At 43.8% G+C, this 27126-nt stretch overlaps 2 pseudogenes across 2 annotated transcripts, besides 4 other annotated features; one reads left to right on the top strand and one right to left on the bottom strand.

The window, feature by feature from the left end:
* Nucleotides 3412-3461: an enhancer, noted in NCBI's record as "active region_26623". NCBI's record gives its function as "activates an Ori minimal core promoter by ATAC-STARR-seq in GM12878 lymphoblastoid cells {active_cell/tissue: GM12878}" and the evidence as "EXISTENCE:reporter gene assay evidence [ECO:0000049][PMID:35858748]".
* LOC407835 (mitogen-activated protein kinase kinase 2 pseudogene) lies at nt 9896-14418 on the bottom strand (annotated as a pseudogene). 2 transcript variants are annotated; one of them, NR_172946.1, is made up of 2 exons: nt 13056-14418; nt 9896-10042 (listed from the first exon to the last, which is right to left on the bottom strand). The product of NR_172946.1 is annotated as a mitogen-activated protein kinase kinase 2 pseudogene, transcript variant 2 (transcript). The 2 variants fall into 2 exon arrangements; NR_002144.1 differs by lacking the exon at nt 9896-10042 and having other exon boundaries at nt 12682-14418.
* Nucleotides 12909-13409: an enhancer, noted in NCBI's record as "H3K4me1 hESC enhancer chr7:128767334-128767834 (GRCh37/hg19 assembly coordinates)". NCBI's record gives its function as "activates a minimal SCP1, AML or CMV promoter by ChIP-STARR-seq in naive H9 embryonic stem cells {active_cell/tissue: H9 hESC(naive)}" and the evidence as "EXISTENCE:reporter gene assay evidence [ECO:0000049][PMID:30033119]".
* Nucleotides 17565-17834: an enhancer, noted in NCBI's record as "active region_26622". NCBI's record gives its function as "activates an Ori minimal core promoter by ATAC-STARR-seq in GM12878 lymphoblastoid cells {active_cell/tissue: GM12878}" and the evidence as "EXISTENCE:reporter gene assay evidence [ECO:0000049][PMID:35858748]".
* Nucleotides 18285-18454: an enhancer, noted in NCBI's record as "active region_26621". NCBI's record gives its function as "activates an Ori minimal core promoter by ATAC-STARR-seq in GM12878 lymphoblastoid cells {active_cell/tissue: GM12878}" and the evidence as "EXISTENCE:reporter gene assay evidence [ECO:0000049][PMID:35858748]".
* On the top strand, nt 22794-23270 carry CYCSP20 (CYCS pseudogene 20; annotated as a pseudogene).

The raw sequence follows: 27126 nt of genomic DNA, 5'->3' as shown, positions 1-27126 counted from the left end.
GCAGTGACACGGTGTAGACGAGGAGCTTTAGGAAAGGGGAGTTCTGGGTAGAGCAAGGCAGGAGACTCCAGGCAAGACGGGTCAGCAGCAGTGATGGCTCAGCTCGTGTGGCTGATGACTGTGGGGATCCCAGTTGGCCAGGCTGGTGATTTCCTTCAAAAAGCATGTAGACCAGGCGTGGTGGCTCAAACCTGTAATCCCAGCACTTTGGGAGGTTGAGGTGGGTGGATCACGAGGTCAGGAGTCGAGATCAACCTGACCAACATGGTGAAACCCTGTCTCTATTAAACATACAAAAATTAGCTGGGCGTGGTGGTGCACGCCTGTAATCCCAGCTACTCAGGAGGCTGAGGCAGGAGAATCGCTTGAACCTGGGAGGCGGAGGTTGCAGTGAGCCGAGATCAGGCCACTGTGCTCAAGCCTGGGCGACAGAGCAAGACTCTGTCTCAAAAAAAAGGAAAAAAGAAAAAAGCATGTAGTAGCCTGGAGAGCCCACGGTGAGAACTACAAATGTTGGAAACTGCAAAGAGGTAAGTGATTCTGGGCTGCACCATTTGAAATGCACCGTCGAAAAGCCCATCTGTGGGATCTAGGATTATTAGAGAACTAACTGCTGGTATGTAACTCTGGAAGGATTGGAAGGTTTGTCTGCACCATTCTCTCTGTTTAGCAAGTTTTCCTTCTTTTTTTTTTTTTTTTTGTATTTTAACTTTTCATTGACATGTAATATATCTACAAAATGCAGCATTCTCTTTTATGTACGTGCTTTTTTTTTTTTTTTTTTTTTTTTTGAGAGGGAGTCTCGCTCTGTCGCCCAGGCTGGAGTGCAGTGGCGTCATCTCGGCTCACTGCAAGCTCCGCCTCCTGGGTTCACACCATTCTCCTGTCTCAGCCTCCCGAGTAGCCGGGACTACAGTTACCTGCCACCATGCCCGGCTAATTTTGTTTTTGTATTTTTAGTAGAGACAGGGTTTCACCGTGTTAGCCAGGATGGTCTCGATCTCCTGACCTCGTGATCCTCCCGCCTCAGCCTCCCAAAGTGCTGGGATTATAGGCATAAGCCATTGAGTCCGACCTTATGTGCTTCTTTCTATCTTTTATATATGTCCTTTTAAAATCTGAGATCAGTACAAAACTATATGTCCAGAGCCATCACAATTTTGTAAAATAAAAAGAATTATATATTTTAAAACACAATGTTGTATACCATAAATATATATAATTTTTGTGTCAATAAAAAATAAAGAAAATAATTGGTTTATAAATGTATAGAAGGAAAGGCATCATAATATAAATAATGATTATCTCTGCGTGGTAGGATATTTGTTGCTCTCTATTTGTGTTACTTTTCCTTTTCCCCAGATTTTCTTTAGTGAATATGTTTTATTTTTATTTTTTTGAATATGTTTTATTTTTATTGGCAAGAAAAATTTTTGTAGTTCTTGTTTTCTCTTTTGGTTAGAAATGTTTTCAAATGCACAGAAAAGTAGAAATCCAGAAACATCTACAGTATTCCCATTACCAAATTTTCCCATTTTCTCATGTTTCCTTCTTCCATTTTTGAGCTATCATGTCATTTAACCCATTAATTTCACTTTCATATCTAAAAATAATGACTTTTTATATAACTATGATAATGTTATCATTCCTGATAAGTTTAACAATAATTTCCTAATATAATTTTGTGCCCAGTTCATACTTAAATTTCCCCAATTGACCCCAGAATATCTTACAGCTGGTTTGTTCAAACCAGGATTTAATCAAGAACTAGTCATTGCACTTGGTATTATGTGGGGTTCTTTTTGAGAAACCTGACGTAATTAGAACTTCATAAGCAACATAATGTTTCATGAAGAAGGTGGCATTTGAAATCTGAGTCCTCAAGGATATGTCAGAATCGACATGGGTAGAGAAGTGAGGTCACTTTAGGAGCAGAGATCAAAGTGAGCAAATTCAGAGAGACAGAAAGGGGGCAGGTGTGTTTGGCTAGTGGCAAGTAGCCCCATGTATTTGGATCAAAGGGGAGAGAATAAGGTGGGATACAATTAGTAAAATAAATTAGAAACAGATCATGGAGGGCCTTGAGGATTGTTTCCAGTTCCAGTTCACTCTGTAGACAACTTGAGATTTCTAGTGAGCCCCGGTGATAACAACCCATCAGTCCATAATGCCTGTAGGACTCTGCCCGTGTTGCATTAGTATGTGTACCCCTGGCACCTAGCAGAGCATGGGACACAGGATGTATTCAGTGTTGAAAACATGGTGCTCGGCTAGGTGCGGTGGCTCACGCCTGTAATCCTAGCACTTTGGGAGGCTGAGGTAGGTGGATCACCTGAGGTCAGGAGTTCAAGACCAGCCAGACCAACATGGCGAAACCCCGTCTCTACTAAAAATCCAAATCTAGCCAGGTGTGATGGTGTGCCTGTAGTCCCAGCTACTTGGGAGGCTGAGGCAGGAGAATCGCTTGTACCCGGGAGGTGGAGGTTGCAGTGAGCTGAGATCGCGCCACTGCACTCCAGCCTGGGCAACAGAGCAAGACTCTATTTTAAAAGAAAAGAAAAAAAAAAAAAAGAAAACATGGTGCTGTTGAAGGATTTTTAGTTGGAGACTGACGTGTCAAAATCTCCTTTGGGAAGATTTAAAAAATTAGGTGGTAATGATGGTGACTAGAATAAGAATTTAGAGAAGAGAACTAGCAGAATGGGTTGCAGTAATTGAAGAGGAGGTGAGGCTTGGTTTCCCCAGATGGGGACACAGCCTAAGCAAAGATGAGCGGTTGGGAATGAGTTCAGGGTGGCATAATGACTACAGAGGAGAAAAAGCTTTGTGGTGTTTTGAGAAATAAGACTCCAAAAGATAGGGTCACGATAGTTTAGGGGGTCTAATATTGGTCATTTGCCTCTGTTGTTACTTAATAAATGACCTCTGATCATATTCAAATTCAAGATTTGGGGTTTTAAAAATTGTTTCTACTTATTTTTTTTTCATATAAGAATCACTTTTAGTTCAATAAGAAAGACAAAATTAGATAAGAGTATTCTGAGTCTAAAAAGAATTAATAACTCAGGAGAGCCTAAACTAAGGGAATATTAAATCAGAAGTATATTGGATTGTGTTTACTTCAAATGTATTAGACAATTAGAATACGACACTGAGCACAATTGCATATGTGAAATGGGACTGTGATTGGCAGTGCTCAAAAAAGGAAGGGGGTAGGGATAGCATGACACATTTAGAGGAAGCTTAGCAAGTTTAGTTAAAATAAACTTAATAAAGAAAGCGGAACATTTGCTTCAACCTCACAGGAAATTGTGTGCTCTTATTGAAGCTTGACAGTTTGTTTCCTCTTCAAAAAGAGTTTGGACCCTTCTTGATGATAATCAAGTTAAGTTGGTAGGTGTGGGGATTGGTGTTAAACTAAAAAGGAAAAAAAAAAACTAGTTACATTTACCTTGCTGTCCAGTAAATGATTCAAACTTGTTTGAATTATTTATTGGTGGTTCTTAAGATTTTCTGAGCTCAGGGATTGTTTGGTGAGTTTGTTGAAAGAGCAGATTTCCAGGCCCTAGCCCCAGTGATTCTGATTCTCGGTTGAGAGGTTAGGTTGAGCAAACAAGCACACTGAAAATTTACCTTCTCTAACAAGCAGCCTGTGTAATTCTGATGTGGATCATCTATGGACAATACTTTTGAAAAACATCTCTAAAGGATCTAGTATCTTTCCTTAGGTAAGCATAGGGCTTGCACAATTAAAAAATAAGTTCTAGTTTAAATTTTTTTTTGTTTTGCTTTATTTTGCTTTTTTGAGACAGGTCTCACTCTGTCGCCCTGCCTGGAGTGCAGTGGCACAATCTTGACTCACTACAACCTCTTCCTTCCAGGCTCAAGCAATCCTCCTGCCTCAGCCTCCTAAGTAGCTGGGACTACAGGCACATACCACCATGCCCAGCTGAATATATATATATGTATATATACACACACATATATATACACACACATATATAAATATACCATATATATAACACATATATAATATAAAAATATATATTATATATATATATTTTTTTGGGGGGGTGGGGGGGTAGAGATGGAGTTTTGCCATGTTGCCCAGGCTGGTCTTGAACTCCTGGGCTCAAGCAATCGGCACCCTCTAAGGCTCCCAAAGTGCTGGGATTACAGGTGTGAGCCACTGCACCTGGCCAATCTTTTTTTTTTTTTTTCTTTTTTAAAAAAAGCTTGTTAGGACTATGTTCAGCTGCAAGTAACAGAAAAACAACCAACCATGGCTTAAACAAGTTTTGTTTTGTTTTTATTTGCTTTTTGTCTCAGGCAACAAGAAGTCTGGGGACAGACTGTTCAGGGCTGATCCTTTGCACTCAAAGACTTACTAAAGTCCTCAAGGAGCCAGGAGCCAGGCTCCTTCTATTTTTCTGCTACCCCATCTTAGGGAGCAAACTTCATTCTCATGGTCACAAGGTAGCTGCTGCACATCCAAACATCACACTCACATTCCAGGCAAGGAAAGAGAGAAGCAAAAGTTACACGCCAGACACATTTGTCCCTTTTACAAAATATTCACAGATGCTTTACCAGTAACTTGTGCTAATATCTCATTGGCTAGAACTGGGCCACATCATCACCTCTGAGTAAATATTGCTAACTGAAGGTACTACTCCCCTGAAGGAAAAAAAAGTGGGGTTCTATTAAGAAAGAAGGGCAGAAATGATATGAGTAGGAAACTAGAATGTCTGCCCCAAATTGTTTATTTTATTTTATTTATTTTTTTGAGATGGAGTCTCTCTCTGTTGCCCAGGCTGGAGTGCAGTGGAACGATCTGGGCTCACTGCAACCTCTGCCTCCCGGGTTCAAGTGATTCTCCTGCCTCAGCCTCCCTAGTAGCTGGGACTACAGGCGTGCGACATCACGCCTGACTAATTTTTGTATTTTTAGTAGAGACGGAGTTTCACCACATTAGCCAGGCTGGTCTCGAACTCCTGACCTCAGGCAATCCACTTGCCTCGGCCTCCCAAAGTGCTGGGATTACAGGTGTGAGCCACCACACCCGGCCCACAAAGTGTTTATTATATGTTAAAATGTCTATCAGAATATCTGTATGCATTATTTCAGATGCTTGTGTGAGCCTAATGTGTAAGTTAAGGTCCACAGAATTGGTTATAAATTCATTTAATAAATATGTATTTCTTGGCAAAAGCACACAACGATGAAGGAGCCACTGTCAGTACCCTTGAGAAGCTCACGATCTAACTGGGGAGTTAGACATGTGTATAACTGTAATGGAAGTTTTGGATGGTCTACCATATCCCTATGTACCCATAACTGCTCCATCCCCATCCATAGATGTGGTGGCTATTTTGTACCATGTGATCCTGCCCACCCACCATCCACTCCCTGAAGATAAGTCCTGATCTAAACTGGGCCAATGAATTCCTTCCCTCTCAAAACACAGAGATACTCACTCACTCTTTGTGTGGCTAAACCTCTAACAGATACACTTGGTAGCAGAGGGACACCCATGTTTTTTTGCCATGGGGACTAAAGAGTGAAATAGTTGATTTGCTGCAGGAGAATGAACCAGTCACCCAGGGAAGAGCACAGAGGAGAGAGACTTGGAGAGAAGAGTGTTTAATTCCTGGATTAATCCCTCAGGCCCAGCTGGCCACATGCAGTTTAGTCTGAAGAGTTTCCTTGTTATTCTTTTAATAGACTTCCTGTTAATCTAGTGTAAGTTAGTTTCTCTTTCTTTCAACCAAATAATTCTTATTATTACAATGGCAAACTATAGGATGCAATAAATAGTACAAGGAAAATATGAGCAAAGCTCTTTTGGAGCAGGAGGAAAAGAGAACTTGACATGGCTAGAAGGGAAGTGGGCCGGAATGAAAGGGAAGCGAAGTGCTGAAGAGGAGAGAGCAGTGGCATTTGAGCTGAGCTAGAGGAAGGAGGAGGATTTTGCTGAACAGAGAAGACAGGAAAGTGCATGGTGATCCAGAGGGGTGCAAACGTATGGTCAACAGGAGGCAGCCAGTGGTCCATGCGTAAGGCCTATGAAAGGAGTGGCAGATGAGGCTACCCACGGAGACTGGCACCCAACCATGCCTGAGGATAAGATTAAGCATGTCTGTTCTTGTCAGCATGGTTATACCTGTTTAAGTATGTCATATAGCAAAAGTTATGCTAAATAAGGCAGCAAAATAAAAGATCAGAGGAACTTGAAATAATAGGCAGAGTCAACGTGAAACAACTGAAACAAGTAATTTAAACAAAAGAATGGGCTTAAGTAGGAAAAGATGATTTTTAAAAAACTTTATAGGCCAGGCACGGTGGCTTACACCTGTAATCCCAGCACTTGGGGAGGCTGAGGTGGGTGGATCACCTGAGGTCAGGAGTTCAAGACCAGCCTGGCCAACATGACAAAACTCCGTCTCTACTAAAAATACAAAAATTAGTCAGGCGTGGTGGTGCATGCCTGCAATCCCAGCTAATCGGGAGGCTGAGGCAGGAGAATCGCCTGAACCCGGGAGGTGGAGGTTGTAGTGAGCTGAGATGGCGCCACTGCACTCTAGCCTGGGTGACACAGCGAGACTCCATCTCAAAAACAAACAAAACAGTTTATGTCATGGAATCAAATATATATGAGGTAAAGATAATAATAGTACAACAAAGGCCCATGAACCCAACCCCCAGCTACAATAGTCATCGACTTGTAGCCATTCTTATTTCATCACCACTCGCACTTACTGCCCCCACCACAGGACTATTTTGAAGTAAATCCATGGCATATCATTTCCAAAGTGATGATATTTTTGAATTATGTATTTACTAGTCATCATTATTACATTCTTATAAATTTACATCTAGGCAGAATTCCAGGCATTTTCCTTGCACTGCGAGTTTTCATAACACATATTACACATGATAGAAACGAGTAATTATGAAAACTTTGGAAACTTTCCTCTATAGCAGTGGTTCCCTACTAAAGGTGATTTTGCCTCCTAGAGACATTTGGCAATGTCTGGAAACATCTTTGGTTGTCACAGCTAGTGGGTGCTACTGGTACCTAGTGTCTAGGAGCCACGGCTACTGCTAAATGAAGCCAGGACAAGGATTAGGTGAGTGAGGTACCCAGGGCCCAAAGCTAGCTGTCTCACTCAACTCACCCTAGTCTCAGCACTGCTGCTAAACATTCTACGGTGCACAGGACAGCACCCCACCACAAAGTCTTACGTTATGTCAACCTAAATAGCAAACAGAAAGGGAGACTCTCCAAAAGAAAATCATTTTATTGGGGAAGAGGCATTGCAATAAGAATACACGTGCCATAGTAACTGAGGCATATTCAGGGAGGTAAAGGAAGATAAAGGTTTTTAAAGGAAAAGTGAGAAGGATTACATAATTGTTTTGAGATAATTATTCTCAGCTACATGGATCAATAACAAGGGAGGCTGGATGGTCAGTTGCTGTGCAGATGTACATCCTTGCAGAAGTATTTTTCTGTGTAAAGTTGAGATGGCCTTTGTGCAAGGTTGTGGTTTTGTAGAGTTTTTTGTAATAGTTCTTATTATCAGGGATTCATGCATGAGAACCCTTCCTTCATGGACTTTGCCACTCTATTTGCCAGGGTTTTTAACATAAGTGGCTCCATTTTGATTCTTTCGTAGTTAATAATGCCAAGATTGAGAAATTCTGCTCCATAGTATACCAAGGAAACTTTATTCAGCCTAAGCCACCTTTGGGTCCAGACTTCAAGTTAACTAACCAAACAAACTATCAGAACCATTTCTAACAACTTGAGCTAACAATATGAAGTCCAGAATCTCTGCTTAGTGAGCTCATAGCAATCCATTTAGCCTGGCCCCACTTTATATTTCTTTCACCCTGATCCCATACTCTGAGGACCCAATCCCACACATATTCTCCAGAATGATATAAATTGGTTGATATAAATTGGTATATGCGAGAGGTTCTGCATCTGTAAACTGTTTTCAGTCCGGGAATTGGTTGACATAAATTGGTAAAACAATGTAATTCTTCAACATGTGTTTTGTCTCTTCACAGGTTACACTTTGTACCTCATTCTGAGGGACCTGCTATAAGCTAAATCACATAGGTCTAGGAGCAATGAAAGTAGTAGATATCAGTCCTAAGGGGACCTGCAGCCCCTTGCAAAGTGTCTACCTCTGGGGAAGACCATTAAGGGTTCTTCAGGCAAGGGGAGTCCGTCACAAACTCCTAATGGAATGACACAGGAAAAAGAAATAAAAAATATTGAAGTATAATTGAATTTTGCATTTCAAGTATGATCAGTTCATTACAGATATGATTTTGTTAAATAAAAATAGATGAAATTGGCTGGGCGCAGTGGCTCATGCCTGTAATCCCAGCACTTTGGGAGGCTGAGGTGGGCAGATCACGAGGTCAGGAGATCAAGACCATCATGATCTTCATCATGGTGAAACCCCATCTCTACTAAAAATACAAAAATTAACTGGGCGTGACGGCGGGGGCCTGTAATTCCAGCTACTTGGGAGGCTGAGGCAGGAGAATTGCTTGAATCTGGGAGGCAGAGGTTACAGTGAGCAGAGATCATGCCACTGCACTCCAGCCTGGAGACAGAGCTAGACTCTGTCTAAAAACAAACAACAAAAAATAAAGATGAAATTTGTCTCTTGTTGAAAGAGGTCGGATATAATTGGGTTTCATAGACTACATTACCTCTATTATTAAATTCATGTATTTGTGATAGTACTTGCAGGGGGTAGAAATTACCTCTGGCAATTTTGACTAAGATTAGTCTTGGATTTTATGTCACCTTGATTATAGGAGAATTGTGACTCACCTTTTCAAGGTGATGTATTTGTAATAGGATACTATTCTCGGTGGTACTGTGTGTGGATACTCACCGTGGATAAAAACCTGTGATAATAGATTTAATCTGTGAAAAGAATTTGGATCCTTGCATCCAGAATGAAGTTATGCTTACAGGAGTGTTCAAACACAGCACAGCAAACAAGCTGTGAGCACCCATTTCATGTCAGGCATTGTACCAAGGGCCGGGGTACAAACGTGAATGAGGCAGCCTGTGCTCGCTTTGGCAGCACATACACTGAAATTGAACAACACAGCCTTAGCCCTGACCTAAGGAGCATGCGATCTAGCCACAAGCCTAGCTACATTGTTTGGATTCAAAACACAAGTGACTTCTGCTTTACCAATAATGTCCAGAATGTAAATTTGAAAAGAATCATGATAATTCCAGAAACAACATACCAACACCTTTTTAAATAGAAAAAAAATTACTTCAAACTATTGTACAATTAGGACATATTCATCATAAAAATATATAAACAATAAAAAAGGAAGAAAATGAAAATCACTGCCACTGCCTTCCAGAGTTTTCTCTGGGCACATGCATACACATATACAAACACGTATTTTTCACAAAAAATAAGCCTGACATTTAATGTTTCCAGAGACCTAAACAACATCACGAACAATGTCTGAAGTTTTTATTTTTTATTTTATTTATTTATATTTTTTGAGACAGTCTTGCTCTTGTCACCCAGGCTGGAGTGCATGGCGCGATCTCAGCTCACTGCAGCCTCCACCTCCTGAGTTCAAGCGATTCTTTTGTCTCAGCCTCCTGAGTAGCTGGGATTACAGGTGCCCGCCACGACACTTGGCTAATTTTTGTATGTTTAATAGAAATGGGGGTTTCACCATGTTGGCCAGGCTGGTCTTGAACTCCTGACCTCAGGTGATCTGCCGGCCTCAGCCACCCAAAGTGCTGGGATTACAGGCATGAGCCACTGGGCCCAGCCAATCTCTGGAGTTTTTAAAGAACAGGGAAAGAATTCTGTGATTGCTATTTGAACAATTCTCTGATAATCCTGCTAATTTTATTTACGTAGCTATTTTGAGGTTAATTCGTAGTGAGCATTAAAGTTGTAAGCGTCCACTTTGATGCTGAATTTGATGTGTTCATCAGGGTATGTTTTGCCTGATGGTTTGAGAGAAGGCAAGCCTGAAAACCAAAGGAAAAGGAAGAATAAAGTGATCTTAAAACAATCTTGAATAGATATTAAGAAGCAGCAAAGATAAGTCATTCACAAAAACTTGGTTAAACTAAAAAGTGGTCAAATCAGCCTGGTTTGTCTGATAGTGCTAAAGCTGGGGCAGTCTGGGATAAACTGGGATGACTGGCCATCCTAGACAGAGCCTGGGGTGTTGCGGAATACATGCTATATGCACCTTATTACTGCCTAAACCTGAAACGTTCTTCATTCTGAAACCCATGTCTCCAAGGGACCTGGATGTACACAGGCTATCTCTGGAAGGAGACAAAGGCCCCAGCCACAGCCTCTGGGGAAGGAAACTGGTGGCTGGAAAGCAGGGATAGGAGAGAGAGTTTTCACTGCATATCCTTTTGCCTCTTTTGACTGTAAACCATGTGAATGACCAGCTACTCAAACAACAAATACAGGCCAGGCGCAGTGGCCCATGCCTGTAATCCCAGCACTTTGGGAGGCTGAAGCAGGTGGATCACCTGAGTTCAGGAGTTTGAGACCAGCCTGGCCAAACTGGTGAAACCCTGTCTCTACTAAAAATACAAAAATTAGCTGGGCATGGTGCCAGGCACCTGTAATCCCAGCTACTTGGGCGGCTGAGGCAGGAGAATCACTTGAACCTGGGAGGCGGAGGTTGCAGTGAGCCCAGATCGCACCATTGCACTCCAGCCTGGATGACAGAGTGAGACTCCGTCTCAACAACAACAACAACAACAACAACACAAAAAACAAAAAACAATACAGAAATTATTGGGGAAAATAAGTGGTAAGCATTCATTTGGTGTCTTTATGCATCTAGTACCATTAAGTTTCCTGGCTATTTATCATATAAGATCTTTGGTTTCCAGTATCACTTTAAGTTGCTCCCCTACCTTTTTGGGCAGGTATATAATATTACTATGAGATTAATTGCTCCTCCCACCAAATACGTAACCCCAGTGTGATGGTATTTGGAGATGGGCCTTTGGGAGAAAATTGGGTTTAGATGAGGTCATGAGGATAGGGCCCTTATGATAGAATTAGTGTCTTTATAAGAAGAGGCCAGTGCAATGGCTCATGCCTGTAATCCCAGCAATTTGGGAGGCTGAGACAGGAGGATCATTTGAGGCCAGGAATTTGAGACCAGCCTGGGTAACATGGCAAGACCCTGTCTCAGCAAAAAGTAAAATAAAAAATTACTTGGGTGTGGTGGCACGTGCCTATAGTCCTGGTTACTCAGGAGGCTGAGGTGGGGGAATCACTTGAGCCCAGGATTCGAGGCTGCAGTGAGCTATGATAGTTCTGCTGCACTCCAGCTTGGGCAACAGTGAGACCCTACAGTAGCCTGAGCTGAGACAAACATTATTTCTATACATATCACTTCACCTCCCATGACAGTGAGGAATAGTGTTAGCCGACGCAGCTCTTTGGAGACATGCTACTTTAAGAGTTTCCAAAGTGGGATACGTTAGACTGGACAATGGTCCAGGCAGAGGAGGGGACCCTCCTCATAAAGTGAAGGGACAATGAGTCATAGGAAAATGACATTTGCAACAATGCTTACTAAGTGCCAGTCACCGTGCTAAGCACATGGTATCTGAAAAGTTGGGAAAAAGGATAAACAGACTTTTAAATTGCATGTCATTTAACTTTTCAAATAGTATGTTCAATTGAAAAAAATTTTTTTTTGAGATGGAGTTTCGCTCTTGTCACCCAGGCTGGAGTGCAATGGCGAGATCGCAGCTCACTGCAACCTCTGTCTCCAGGTTTCAGGCAATTCTCCCGCCTCAGCCTCCCAAGTAGCTGGGATTACAGGCATGCACCACCAAGTCCGGCTAATTTTTGCATTTTTAGTAGAGACGGGGTTTCACCATATTGGCCAGGCTGGTCTTGAACTCCTGACCTCAAGTGATCCACTCCCGCTCGGCCTCCCAAAGTGCTGGGATTATAGGTGTCAGCCACCGCACCCAGCCAATATGTTCAACTTTTTTAACCCCAGGACATCTTTTCAGGTGAAATATCTCTAAATTTGAAGTAATTAATCCATTTGTTAATGTGAAAAAAAGCTTACTTCAGATTAAATATATATATTTTTCCTATATTTCCAGAATTTTTGGACACTTTTTAGTGTATTTATTATACTTTTTAAAGATTAAAATCGGATTCATTGCTTTATTTTATTTTATTTTATTTTTAAGACAGGGTTTTGCTCTGTCACCCAGGTTGGAGTGCAGTGGCATGATCACTGCTCACTGCAGCCTCAGCTTCCAGGGCTCATGTGATTCTCCCTGCTCAGCCTCCCAAGTAGCTGGGACCACAGGTGTGGGCTGCCATACCTGGCTAATTGTTTGTATTTTTATCTTTTTGGTAGAGACAAGATTTTGCTATGTTGCCTGGGGTGGTCTCCAACTCCTGGGCTCAAGCAGTTGGCCTTCCTTGGCCTCCCAAAGTGCTGGGATTACAGGTGTGAGCCACCGTGCCTGGCCTGGACTCATTGTCTTAAATAGGGGGTTGTCCAAGGGTTGAAGAAAAAGATACTGACCATATTATTTGAAAAGCTGACTAATACACTGTTTAAAAATAAGTTTACCCAGTGTTTCCCAACTTTTCAAACTTCTTTTTTTTTTTTTGGTTTTTCTCTCCCTGTTTTGTTTTGTAACCTAAGGAAGCAGAGGCTCTGAGACCACACACAGCAGCGTCGCCCGTCCCTAGAGGCACGCCGGCAGGGACCAGCAGGAGAGGAGACCCCCGTTCCTGCGTGCGCAGTTGTCGCCCCGCCACGGTGCTCTCCGCAGGGGTGAGGCAGGAGGGTGGGTGGAGGCGCCAGCCTGTCCTCAGCTGGAAGGGCGGGGCGTGGACAGGGACGGTGGGCAGGTCACCAGCGGGACGCGGGGAGCCTGGCCACTGTTACACGGCGGTGCGCGTGGGTGTGCCGGGCTGGTTCAGCCCCAGGGTTTTACACAACTAGCAGGCAAAATCCGCTTCTTTCACCTCGGACCGCTTGATGAAGGCGTGGTTTGTGAGCATCTTTAGGTCCGCCCGCTCCGTTGGGTTTTTGATGAGGCATTTATTGACAAACTCCTGGAAGTCGGGGGTGAACACACCGTTGGGCAGCTTAGGAGGCGGCTCTTTCACAATATAGTCCAGCAGTTCGAAGATGGCCATGGCGGGCAGGCTGTCCATCCCGTAACCGCTGTTGGGGCGCCCGGGGGACCCTGGCCAAGAGGAGATGCTGTGAGGCTCTCCTTCTTCCCTGTCGACCACGGGCTGGCCAAAGATGGCCTCCAGCTCCTTGGCGTCGGGCGGGGGGATGGGGTACCTTTCGATGGCCAGCTCCACCAGGGACAGGTCCATGCTCCAGATGACCGACTGCACCGAGTAATGTGTGCCCTGCAACCGCTCCGGAGCCATGTAGGAGCGCGTGCCCACGAAGGAGTTGGCCATGGAGTCGATGAGCTGGCCGCTCACCCCGAAGTCACACAGCTTGATCTCCCCTCTAGAGTTCACGAGGATGTTGGAGGGCTTCACATTTCGGTGCATGATCTGGTGCTTCTCTCGGAGGTACGCCAAGCCCCGGAGAACCGCAATGCTGACTTTCCCCAGGATGTCCTCGGGAATCCTCTTGGCCTCTTTCAGCCCCTGGTCCAGGGAGCCGCCATCCATGTGCTCCATGCAGATGCTGATCTCCCTGTCACAGTAGAAGGCCCCGTAGAAGCCCACGATGTACGGTGAGTTGCACTCGTGCAGGACCTGGTGCTCGCGGATGATCTGGTTCCGGATGGCCGGCTTGATCTCAAGGTGGATCAGCTTCCTGGCCATGATGAGGCCCGAGGGTCTGTGCTGGACTTTGGTGACCACCCCGCCGTTGCCCGCGTCCAGCTCTGAGGTCCTTTCGAAGTCATCGTCTTTGAGTTCGCCGACCTTGGCTTTCTGGGTGAGAAAGGCTTCCAGCCGCTTCTGCTGCTCGTCAAGTTCCAGCTCCTCCAGCTTCTTCTGCAGGTCCACCAGGTTTGCCTCGGAGGCGCCCTCGCTGGTTGGGGACGGGCCCTCGGCGATGGTAGGGTTGATGGTGAGCGCCGGCAGCATCGGCTTCCTCCGGGCCAGCATCCGGGCTCCGCGGGCCGGTGGCGGCGGCGCCTCTAGCCTGGGCCCGTAGTGGGCGGGCCGGGAGCGTTCGGCGCCTACGCGAGCCCGGGGCTGCGACCGCGGCCCAGGCCGGCGTCGGGGCGGCCGAGGGCGGGCGGCGCTGCGGGCCTGGTCCGAGGGTAGCCGAGGGGCGCTGGGGCTGAGGCGAGCGAGCCGCCGCCGCTGCCGAGGCCCGAGGGAGGCTGACGCTGCAGCCGGAGTCCAAGAGCTTTTCAAACTTCTTATATTTTAAATGTGTTAATTCATTTAATCCTTAAAACGATGACATGAGGTAGGTACTATTATTATCCGCACTTCACAAATGAGGAAACTGAGGCAAACAGAGGTCACCTAGCTTGCCCAAGGTTAAACAGACAGCCACATCCAGAAAGCTATAGAGTCTGGCTTTAAACCCAGATAGACCAGCTCTAGGTCTGTGATCATAACCACTGAACTTTACTGCTTCTTACAGCAAGAGTGTATCTGACGAAGTCGTGACTTGGAACTGGCCAAGTCTAGGAAGGATCCAGAGTTTAATTCTGAAGAAGGGAAAGGAGGCTGATATTAAACATGCAATATTTCCAGGCTGTGCTCAGATCTTCATGTAGCTCATTTATGATTACAGAATACATTGCTAAAGAAAAATGGTAAAGAAACGATACTCGTATTTTGAGCAAATCCCCCTCCTCAGACTCCATTTCTAATTACTGCCATTTTCTGAAAGAGTTGTAAGCAATAAATTCTAACTCTGTTAGAAGAGAAGAAAATGTACTGCTCAGGAAGAGTCCTGCAAAACAGAAAAACTTCAAGACAAGCTTAAGCAGTGGTTGCAGATTTATTGCACATTACATTATTTGGATGGACAGGTGAATTTTCTTTGTCCCATAATGTCTTAAAATTTTTGAATTTGAGCTGGGCACGGTGGCTCATGTCTGTAATCCCAGCATTTTGGGAGGCCAAGATGGGAGAATCACTTGAGCCCAGGAGTTCAAGACCAGCCTGAACAACATAGAAAGACCTCTGTCTCCACAATTTTTTTTTTAAAAAAAATTAGCTGGGCATAGTGGTGAGCACCTGCAGTCCCAGCTACTCCGGAGGCTGAGGTGGGAGGATCATTTGAGTCCAGGAGTTTGAAGCTGCAGCGAGCTGTGATCATGCCACTGTACTCCAGCCTGGGCAAGAGAGCTAGACCTTGTCTCAAAAAAAAAAAAAAAATTGAATTTGAATGCTTTTAGCTTGAGCTTACTCTCTCCAATTAGCCATCATCTTTACCACTCCTAGTTACAAACACTATATTACTTCCCTGGACCTAGTAGGCATGCATAGAGGGAGATAGAGATCATTTGTGCAACTAGAGTGATACAGCCAATGAGTAGTCAGTAAAGAACGGAAATTAGGGGCACGCCATTATCAGGGACAGGTCTGTTAGAATCCCATAAAAAATTCCAGTTGTATTCAACCTCCACTGACAATGACGTGGTTCCAGATCACAGTGGATGGAGGAGACTCACCATGCAGAACTGAGTGACGCAGCAGGAGTAGCATCGTGGCAAAGGTAAGAGGTGAGGCTGTGCCAACCAGAACAGGCTGTATTGAGGAGGAGCAAGAAATAAGGTTGGAGGTGTTCGCGAAGGGTTTCAAAGGGCAGGCAGAAGAGTTCAGATTGTGTGAGGTGGAAAACAAATAAGGTTTGTTATTTGGGGCCCTGGAGTGCCTTGGAGATATCCTGTCTCTGGAATATCTGGAATTGCAACGGGAGTAAGAAGTTAGAAGAGCGGCTGTAGATGTGAAGAGGAGGAAAGGATCCAGGGGAATCGAAGTGAGGAGGTTGGCTTTTGTCTGTAGAATCAGGTCTGGTCAGAGAGGAAACTGGGCAACGCAATCATGATCTCAGGGGAAGCATCATGATTTGGTGGAGTTGAGACTGGGGCCGTGGACTGCAAACAAGGGGTTTGGGGATATTTCCTATCAGGAGCAGTCTCACATCCATATAGGGGTAGGCCACTGTGCACTTTTTATGTGAGAGGTTCCATAACGTTTCTCTTCCCTTACTTCTCACCCTCACCAACTTGTCTGAAATTCCCACCATTCTCTAATCCAATTCCCATTATGGTTAGGTTAAGGTGTGGAATCACTATTTAAAATTCAAATATAGGCTAGGTGCAGTGAGTGGCTCACGCCTGTAATCCCAGCACTTTGGGAGACTGAGGCAGGAGGATCACTTGAGGCCAGGAGTTCGAGACCAGCCTGGGCAACATGGCAAAACCCTGTCTCTACTAAAAATACAAAAACTAGCCAGCCGTGGTGGCTCACACCTGTAGTCCCAGCTACTCCGAATGCTGAAGCACAAGAATCGCTTGAATCCGGGAGGCGGAGGTTGCAGTGAGCCAAGATCGCACTACTGCACTCCAGCCTGGGTGACTGAGACACTGTCTCAAAAAAATAAAAATAAAAATAAAAATAAAATATTAAAAAGAAAATGCAGAAAATGCAAAGATTTCTAGGAGGGATACCCAGACCAATATCTGCACTTCAAATCTTAGAAGTTAAACATTTATCAAGACATGATTCTGTACACCCTCCATTCAAGCCACCAGAAATCTGAGACAGAATCTCATGTGTCTGAGACTCGACCACTCTGATTTTGAAGTGAAATTATTTCAAATGCTTAAATGGGTAGCACTGAGTGTTTGTCTGTTATTTTTCCAAGCCCAGCACCTATTCCCCGTTCTGGTACCAGCATGCTAGATTTCCTTTGGGATGCCACCCCACCTCCTGTCTCAGGCTCAGTGAGCATGGGAGAGATCTACCCTTCCACCTGGCAGGTGGAACGCCGGACTCTGTTCTGGCCAATCAGAGCCCAGGGATGGTTATGCGCTCTAACTTGGTCCAGTCAGAATGAAGCCTCTAATTTAGTTGGGGAGGAGGACCATTACTGAAAGGGATTCCCTCTCTCTTTTGCTGGGACCCCCTGGGATTACAGATGACCTGCAGCCACTGGGGGCTACCCCAGGGCTCCTGAGAGAGAAGGTAACACTGAGGAAAGGTAGAGCTGAGACAGGGTTAAACCAAGTCCCAGTGACATAGTTTGAGCCACAAGATCAGTGGTGCCTGAAACAAGCCCTAACCTTAGACTTTTCAGTTATGCGAATCAGTGAAATTGTGTGGTTGTTGTTTGTTGGTTTGGTGTTTTGTTTCATTTTGTCTAAGTCAGATAAAAATGGATTTTCAGTTATCTTGAAACTGAAAATCTGCTGACTGGCACGCCATCCCGCTGGCTTGTGTGCTGTGCACATTAACAAGACTCACCTTTTCTTAGGATTCATCCTATGTGCAAGATTACCAGGATGTAGCCAGATTCAGGATGCCTGTTTTTATAGCTTAGCTACAGAGTTTTTCTTCACCTCTAGCAATTGCCTATGCCCTTTCAGCGGCCTCAGCAGGGAGAAGCACAGTGGGACTCCTTGAAAGGCAGATCCAGAAGGCTGGTTATGTGGACAGTTCACCACAGTTAACTGGGGTAACCACAGTTGGCCTGGGCAGTCCAGAAGCAGATGACCCACCCCCATACTGTGGGCAGCTCTTCCTGCAGTGCTTAACTCCAGAAAAAAACCCTCCACCAGTTCCTTACTAAGGTGGTAAACAACCCTAAGAAATCTGGCTCTCTAAGCTTGGGACAGCCAAGAAATGAGTCAGCCTTCTGGAGAAACCCCCCTTGCCACAGCCTGTGCTTCCCCATTTCTGCCAGGGCCCCAGCCCCAGCCCCAGCCCCCATGTCAGTAAAGCCTATGCATTTCTTTCAAGAGCATGACAAAACCTCATATCTGAAAAGCACTGAAGTGCTGTACCTCTTTCAAAGTACTTGTGCATTCATTATCTCATTAGGATACCAGATTTGCTATTTTTTTCTTCAGATTCTTTTTTTTTTTTTTTTAACTCAAATCCAGCAGAGTTTTTTCATGTGGTTCTCAATGAGACTTGAGAAGAGAAAATCAGAATTCAATCCAAAAGCACAGCTTTTCTAGAGACATAAATATAATCCTCCTCTCTCATGCCAAAAATAACAAGGGGGCAGAGGTTAGATTCTAGAGGAAAGAACATTGAGTGTGAACTGAAACCTTTCTAGTTACAGATCTACCACTAAGTAGCTGTGTGACCTGGACAAGCCCCTTAATCTCTCTGCACTTCAGTTTCTTCCTTTGTAAAATGGCAGCATTGAGGCTTCCTGGGAACCCTGGCCTTGATATTTTCTAAGCATCTTTGAAGCTCTGAGGTTTTATGGCTCGGTGAATTGTAGAATCTGAGGAGACTGATTTATAAGCAAGTTGGCACGTTTTTTAAGCCCAGTCATTCCTTTGGTGTGTGCAAGGGAGAGCCCCTGCTCAGAGTGTCAGGAGCCATAGCACATTGGGATGTAGACTGAGCATGGCCCACTTCCCAGAGACCCCAAGGCCTGCCTTAGGCCCACCTCTGATGGTGGTGGTTGGTTGGTGGTGGTTAGTTGGTTAAATGAAGGGTGAGATCCTGACCACTCACTAAATGCTGAACTCTTGATAGATTAGGAGGAAGCTCTGCTATCTGTGGGATGAGGCACAGCAGATGATGTGGTTTGGCTGTGTTCCCACCCAAATCTCATCTTGAATTCCCACATGTTGTGGGAGGGACTGGGTGGGAGATAATTGAATCATGAGGGCAGGTCTTTCCCATGCTGTTCTCATGATAGTGAATAAGTCTCATGAGATCTGATGGTTTTAAAAATAGGAGTTTCCCTGCACAAGCCCTCTCTGTGCCTGCTGCCATCCATGTAAGATGTGACTTGCTCCTCCTTGCCTTCCGCCATGATTGTGAGGCTTCCCAAGCCATGTGGAACTGTAAGTCCATTAAAGCTCTTTCTTTTGTAAATTAGCCAGTCTCGGGTATGTCTTTATCAGCAGTGTGAAAACAGACTAATACAGCAGATGTCAGATTGGTTCTTGGAATGGAAGGTAAGCGAACTCTAGTGTTTACTGAAGACAGGGCCTATGTAGGGATTGGCAGGGTAGGGTGGTAGGCCCTATTTAGCAGTACAGAGACTGACCCAAGGCACTTTTCTTGCTGAGTTCAACCTTCTTTTGCAACCCTTTCTTCTGGCAAGTGCTTTCTGCCCAGTGGGGAGGTGAAAGGGTCCCTCACCTTCATGAACCCCTTCTGTGTGAATATACCCTCCAATAAATCCTGGCTCTTCTTTCCATTTCCAATGACTACTTTGAGAAATTAGGATGTCAGTGGTTCATCTTGTCTCATGCAAGCCTGAATTATGTATTCTTTAAGAACAGTGACTATGATCCATCAGACTGTCTTCCACCTGTCATTCAGCATGGCTTTGGCTCTGAACTCTCCACCAACCTTTTTCCTTCCCTGCAACACACACATTCAAAACTAAAATAACCCATTACCACCACCACTAACAACCCCCCCCCCCAACCATCCCATTATAGATCATATCCTCCCAGGAAGTTTTTCTTTGTTCCTAAATTAATTCATACCAATGTGGTGATGGCCACTCAGGCTTGTTACTTGTCTACCTGCCCTACCACGACTCTAAATATGTATTTCCATTTTAACAGGAGATGTTGGATCCAATTTGTCAAAAACTATCTCATTAAAGGAACAAACTTGTTTCAGCATCAGACTTATGATGTGATATTTTTGTCTTAATCCCTCAAAGTACTGAGAGAAGGTTGGGTACTAGTGAAGTCAGAGCTATTAGGGGGCACCCTGGCTAATCAGGCCTTCCTCTGGGCCAGCAGTGCCATCCTATTTATACCTACAGTTTTAGCATTCAGAACAAAATCTTACTACACAAAGAAATTTATAGATTTAATGCAATTCCTATCAAAATACCAACGACATTCTTCATAGAAATAGAAAAAAAATCTTAAAATGTATATGGAACCACAAAAGACCCTAAATAGTCAAAGCAATCTTGAGCAAAAAGAAAGCTGGAGGCATCACACTACCAGACTTTAAAATATCCTACAAAGCTGTAGTAAGCAAAACAGCATGGCGCTGGCATAAAAACAAACACATAGAACACTGGAACAATAGAGAACCCAGAAATTAATCCATGTATCTATAACCAACTGTTTTTTGACAAAGGTGCCAAGAACCCTTATTGATAGTCTCTTCAATAAATGGTTGAGGCAAAACTGGATATTCATATGCAAAAGCATGAAACTAGATTCCTGACTTTCATCCTATACAAAAATCAACTCAAAGTGGATCAAAGACCTAAATGTAAGACCCAACCCTATAAAACTACTAGAAGAAAACATGGGGAAATGCTTCAGGACATGGGTCTGGGAAAAGATTTTATAAGACTTCAAAAGCATAGGCAACAAAAGTAACAATAAACAAATGGGATTATATCAAACTAAAAAGCTTCTACACAGCAAAGGAAATAATCAATAGAGTGAAAAGACAATCAACAGAATGAGAGAAAATATTTGTAAACTATTCATCCAACAAGGGATTATTATCTAGAACATACAAGGAATTCAAACACTTCAATAGCAAAAAAGCAAATAATTCAATTTAAAAAATGGGCAAATGGGCCAGGCATGGTGGCTCACACCTGTAATCCCAGCACTTTGGGAGGCCAAGGCAGGCAGATCATTTGAGGTCAGGAGGGTGGATCACTTGAGGTCAGGAGTTGGAGACCAGCCTGGCCAACATGGTGAAACCCCCTCTCTACTAAAAATATAAAAAATTATCCGGGTGTGGTGGTGGCACATGGGTGTAATCTCAGCTACTCGGGAGGCTGAGGCAGGAGAATGGCTTCAACCTGGGAGGCAGAGGTTGTAGTGAGCTGTGATCGTGCCACTGTACTCCAGCCTGGGTGACAGAGCAAGCCTGTCTCAAAAAAAATAAAAATAAATAAAATAAATAAATAAAAGGGCAAATGATCTGAACAGATATTTCTCAAAAGAAGACATACAAATGGATGGTCAACAAATATATAAAATAATGCTCAATATTACTAATCATCAGGGAAACACAAATCAAAACCATCAAGAAGTATCATCTCACTCTGGTTAGGATGCTATTATCAGAAACACAAAAAAATAACAAATGCTGGTGAGGATGTGGAAAAATGGAACTCTTATTCACTGTTGGTGGGAATGTAAACTAGTACAGCCACTATGGAGAAGAGTTGGAGGTTCCTCAAAAAACTACAAATAGAACTACCATATGATACAGCAATCCCACTACTGGGCATTTATTCAAAGGGAAAGAAATCAGTATATCAAAGAGACATCTGTGCCCCTATGTTTATTGCATCACTATTCACAATAGCCAAAATATGGACTCAACCTAGGTGTTCAATAACAGATGAATGGATAAAGAGAATGTGGTATACGTACACAATAGAACACTATTCGGCTATTAAAAAAAGAATGAAATCCAGTTATTTGAAGTAATGCGGATAGAATTGGAGCACATTATGTTAAGTGAATTAAGCCAGGAACAGAAAGTTAAATACTGCATGTTCTCACTCCTTTGTGGAAGCTAAGAAAAGTTGACTTCATAAAAGTAAAAAGTAAAACAGAGGATACTAGAGGCTTGAAGGGCAGAGGGAAGTGGGAGTTAGAGAGATGTTTATTAAATGATACAAAATTACAGCTAGATAGAAGGAATAAGTTCTAGAGTTCTATACCAGTGGTCCCCAACATTTTTGGCACCAGGGACTGGTTTCATGGAAGACAATTTTTCCACAGACCAGGGAGTGGGGGATGGTTTCAGGATGATTCAAGCGCATTACATTTATTATGCACTTTATTGCTATTATTATTACATCGTAATATTAATATGTAATGAAATAATCGTACAACTCACCATAATGTGGAATCAGTGGGAGCCCTAAGTTTGTTTTCCTGCAACTAGACAGTCCCATCTGGGGGTGATGGGAGACAGTGACAGATCATCAGGCATTAGATTCTCATAAGGAGCCTGGCATGTGCAGTTCACAATAGGGTTCGCACTCCTGTGAGAATCTAATGCTGCCATTGATCTGACAGGAGGCGGAGGTCAGGCCGTAATGTGAGCAATGGGGAGCAGCTGTAAATACAGATAAAGCTTCACTCAGTAGCCTGTTGCTTACCTCCTGCTGTGTGGCCCGGTTCCTAACAGGCCATAGACCGTTGTTATGCGACCATGGCTCAGGGGCTGGGGACCCCTGTTCTATACCACTGTAGGATGACTGGATGTAACAATATATAGCTTCAAATAGCTAAAACGGGCCAGGCACAGTGGCCCATGCCTGTAATCCCAGGACTTTGGGAGGCCGAGGCAGGCGGATCACTTGAGGTCAGGAGTTCGAGACCAGCCTGGCCAACATGACGAAACCCCATCTCTACTGAAAATACAAAAGTTAGCTGGGTGGGGTGGCATGCACCTGTAATCCCAGCTACTAGGGAGGCTGAGGCAGGAGGATTGCTTGAACCCAGGAGGCAGATATTGCAGTCAGGTGAGAGTGTGCCTTGGCAACAGAGCAAGACTCCGTCTAAAAAAAAAGTAGCTAAAAAATGGATATAGAATGTTCTTAACACAAAGAAATGAAAAATGAGAGAGCAGGACATCTGGTTTCTGAGTAGGAACCTTCACAGTGCCAGTGACAAAAGAGAGAATTAAATATGGGTGATGTTGAGAAAAGCACGAATATTTGTGTTCAGAAGTGTGCCCAGTGCCACACCACGGAAAAGGGAGGCAAGCACAAGACTGAGCCTAACCTCCATGGTCTCTTTGGGTGGAAGACAGGTGCCATTGGATTCTGCTACACAGACACCAGTAAGAACAAAGGCATCACCTGGGGAGAGGACACACTGATAGAGTATTTGGAGAATCCAAAGAATTAGATACCTGGAACAAAAATGATCTTTGGCGGCATTAAGAAGAAGGGAGAAAGGGCGGACTTGATAGCTTATCTCAAAAAAGCTGCTCATGAGAAATAATTGGCCACTGCGTTATTTATTACAAAAGAGAAATGTCTCATGAATTTTTTATATGTATCGTAATTTAATAGATTTCATACACCAGAATTCAAAAAGAAAAAAGAGAAATGGTAAATGAGATGATGGATATGCAAATTACCCTTATCTAATCACTGTATATTATATGTATCAAAACATCTCTATGTACCCCATGAATATATACAATTATTATATGTCAATTTAAAAAAAAGAACAAAATGTCACATTGCATTTGCCAGTCCCCCAGCTTTCATAATGTTATTTTGCTGTTTTGTTTCTGGGATCTTCTCTCTTTTTCCTTAAATCCTTACCCAGCCTCAGATGCTCCTAGCTCTGTACAGGCCTGAAACTGGAACGTGGAATCTTGACACCCTCTGAAAACTCCTCTGGATTTACCCGCCCTGTGCCCCTCCACACACCATTCCTATTCCCCTTACAGAGGCTCCTGCTCCTCACCCTCAAGCCCCAGGACATCATGGCCCAAGCTTAAAACAGGACCAGAGAAAGGGACCAGAATCCATCAAGTAAAACCAAATTCAGGTTAATAGCAGGAAACCAGCTGAAAATCTCAGGAGCTTCTGGATGTATATTACAAGGGGACAACTTTCTATTCCAGGAGTTTGCCAGCTCTGAATTTGGTCCCAGGCCAGTACTCTTTGCCACTCACCTATTTTATTTTTAAATTATTATTATTATTATTATTATTTATTATACTTTAAGTTCTGGATACATGTGCAGAACGTGCAGGTTTGTTACATAGGTGTACATGTGCCATGGTGGTTTGCTGCACCCATCAACCCATCATTTAGGTTTTAAGCCCCGCATGCATTAGGTATTTGTCCTAATGCTATCCCTCCCCCTGTCCCCCACCCACTGGCAGGCCCTGGTGTGTGATGTTCCCCTCCCTGTGTCCATGTGTTCTCATTGCCATCCTATTCTCTTACACAAGGTTGAGAATGTCTGTGAACAGGAACATTCCTCAATTCTCCCATCTTGGAAGTCAGCTTGATTCTTTGAATGTAAGGGTTAGAAGGGTCAGACTGGCCAGGTGCAGTGGCTCACACCTGTAATCCCAGCACTTTGGGAGGCCAAGGCGAGTGAATCACCTGAGGTCGGGAGTTCAAGACCAACCTGACCAACATGGAGAAACCCTCTTTCTACTAAAAATACAAAATTAGCCAGGCGTGGTGGCTAATTAATTCCAGTAATCCCAGCTACTTGGGAGGCTGAGGCAGGAGAATCTCTTGAACCCTGGAGGCACAGATTGCAGTGAGCTGAGATTGTGCCATTGCACTCCAGCCTGGGTCAACAAGAGTGAAATTCTGTCTCAGGAAAAAAAAAAAAAAAAAAAAAAGAGAAGGGTCAGACCCAGCCCTGGGACATCCTCAAATGTTGAGATGCTCTGGATTTTGATGGCCTGTACTGGCATTAACACACAACCATAGGCAAACTATGAAACAATTTGCACTGGTGTATAAAATATGGTGGCCAAGCTGAAGTAATAACATGAATAAACAAATAATATAAGGCAATATCTCTTAAGCTTGGAATTCTAAAAGCAATGGAGAGTCCCAAGGGAAAACAATACCACTCTTAACTATCTTATTCCTACTCCCACAGCCTGGGGCTGAGTCTTGGTGCTGGAGAGAAAGGAAAGAGCTGGCTTTCTTCCAGTCCCTCATTCATCTTGCCTGGCTCTGCCTGGTCCACACTTAAACTTGTTTGTTAGAAATATGGTCACTTTAGTCATCTTCTACCCAGTCATCAACTCACCCTTTCTGCTCCCTGATATGGATTTGGTAAAAGCCATGGCAAGTGCTCAGGAGAGGGAATCACCAGAAACCTTTGTTAGTCCAGAGTTTAGAGATTAAGGGTAAGCCTCATAGGGGTTGGGAGTCTTATGGGGACTACATAAGAGATTACTAACGAAGGAGGAAAGAGGCATATGAGGGCTGATGCTGAGGGAATCTGCTAACAGCAATCCAAGGTCATCCCTGCAGGTAGGTCTGTGGCTGAGTAGATTCCTGTAGAATAGATTCAGGTAGACTATGTTCAGCAACACTGGAGCAGTCAAGCAGGCTTTGTTCCTAACTTCACTTCTCTTATCAAGGAGCTTTATCATCATCTCTATGCTTCTAAAACCTCACTGCTGTTTCCCAGCTTATTACCCCAGAAACAGACTTGGGCCAGCATGGATGACAGAAAATGTTATTTGCTCAGCTCTCTGATTCCTATACTTGCCAGCAGCAATCACGACCGCCAGCACCAAAAGGACAGAGGGAGTCTGGGTCAGCCCTGCTTTATGCAAAACAAGGTATGGAAATCCAGATATTTTTCCCAAAATGATACATTTGGGAGGAGCATATGTATTTATTTGCTTATTTCATTTAAATTTTTCTTTCCAAAAACATCTCTGAAGGGTTTCTTTAGCTTTTACATGGTTCTATTTTTTTAAGTTATCTTTGGTATAAAATTATATCATCACTTTACCAAAAAATTTGGGAAAGAATTGAAAAAAGAAAATAATCACGCATGACTTCATTGTCAATACATCTGTCACTTGCTAGCATTTGGAATATTTCTTTCCTATCTTTTCTCCTATACACATTTTTTCTTATAAACATTAAAGATTCACTTTGTTTTAAAAAAAATTTTAAGTAGTTCATGCACATAATAAAAAGTATAAAAAGTGACAGTCCCTCTCCTCCACCCTTATCCCCAGTGACCACTTTAAGTCTTGTACATCTTTCCAGAAAATAACTTTTCTTTTCTTTCTTTCTTTCTTTTTTTTTTTTCTGAGATGAGGCCTCGCTCTATTGCCAGCCTGGAATGAAGTGGTGTGATCTCAGCTCACTGCAGCCTCCACCTCCTGGGTTCAAACTATTCTCCTGCCTCAGCCGCCCTAGTAGCTAGGATCACAGGCATCTGCCACCACGCCTAGCTAATTTTTGTATTTTTAGTAGAGATAGGGTTTTGCCATGTTGGCCAGGCTGGTCCTGAACTCCTAACCTCAGGTGATCTGCCTGCCTCAGCCTCCCAAAGTGTTGGGATTACAGGCGTGAGCCACCGTGCCCGGCCAAATAGCTTTGCATATAAGGTGTCTTGCTGGGGATGGGGGTTGGCATGTACTGTGAGGGGCAAGGGGCAGGCAGCAGATCTGCTTCTGCTAGGAATGTGGACACATGAACCACATGAGCAACCCTTCCATGGTGTCAGAATTGCAAGATGTAAACTTGGAGCTACCAGGGATGGTGTTTCTGGCCATGTTACTAGAATAAGTGACGGGAGAGCTGGAGACAGCACCCTGGTGCTATTAGAGATTATGAATCTAGCTCTTTTCTGAAGTCTATGTCCTTGGCCTTCCATGAATTAGTGTTGTTCAAACTTCCTCAGAATTTATGAGCAATAGTTTTTTTTCTGTTAAAATTTGTTTGGCCAGGTGCAGGGTCTCACATCTGTAATCCTAGCACTTTGGGAGGCCGAGACCGGCAGATCACTCAAACCCAGGAGTTCAAGACCAGCCTGGGCAACATGGCGAGACCCTGTCTCTACAAAAAAATACAAAAAATTAGCCAGGACTGGTGGTGTGTGTCTGTAGTCCCACCTACTGGGGAGGCTGAGGTGGGAGGATCACCTGAGCCTGGGAGGTCAAGGCAGCAACGAGCCATGATCCTACCACTGTACTCCGGGCTGGGTGACAGGGCAAGACCCTGTCTCAAAAAAAGCAATTTTTTTGGTTTGAATTAGATATATATCATGTTCTAACAAATTAGCACATTCAGCATAAGCATTTTCTTTCTCTGTACAATCTTCATAACCACAATTTTTAAGGATAAAGAAGAGCAACAAACAACAAAGTATTAGATGAACTGGATGTCATCAAACTAAAAACTTGTGTGCTTCAAAGGACACTGTCAAGAAAGTGAAAT

The sequence above is a fragment of the Homo sapiens genome, chromosome 7, assembly GCF_000001405.40.
Source record: "Homo sapiens chromosome 7, GRCh38.p14 Primary Assembly".
Lineage (NCBI taxonomy): Eukaryota > Metazoa > Chordata > Mammalia > Primates > Hominidae > Homo > Homo sapiens.
This window is presented reverse-complemented; position numbering and strand designations above follow the sequence as displayed.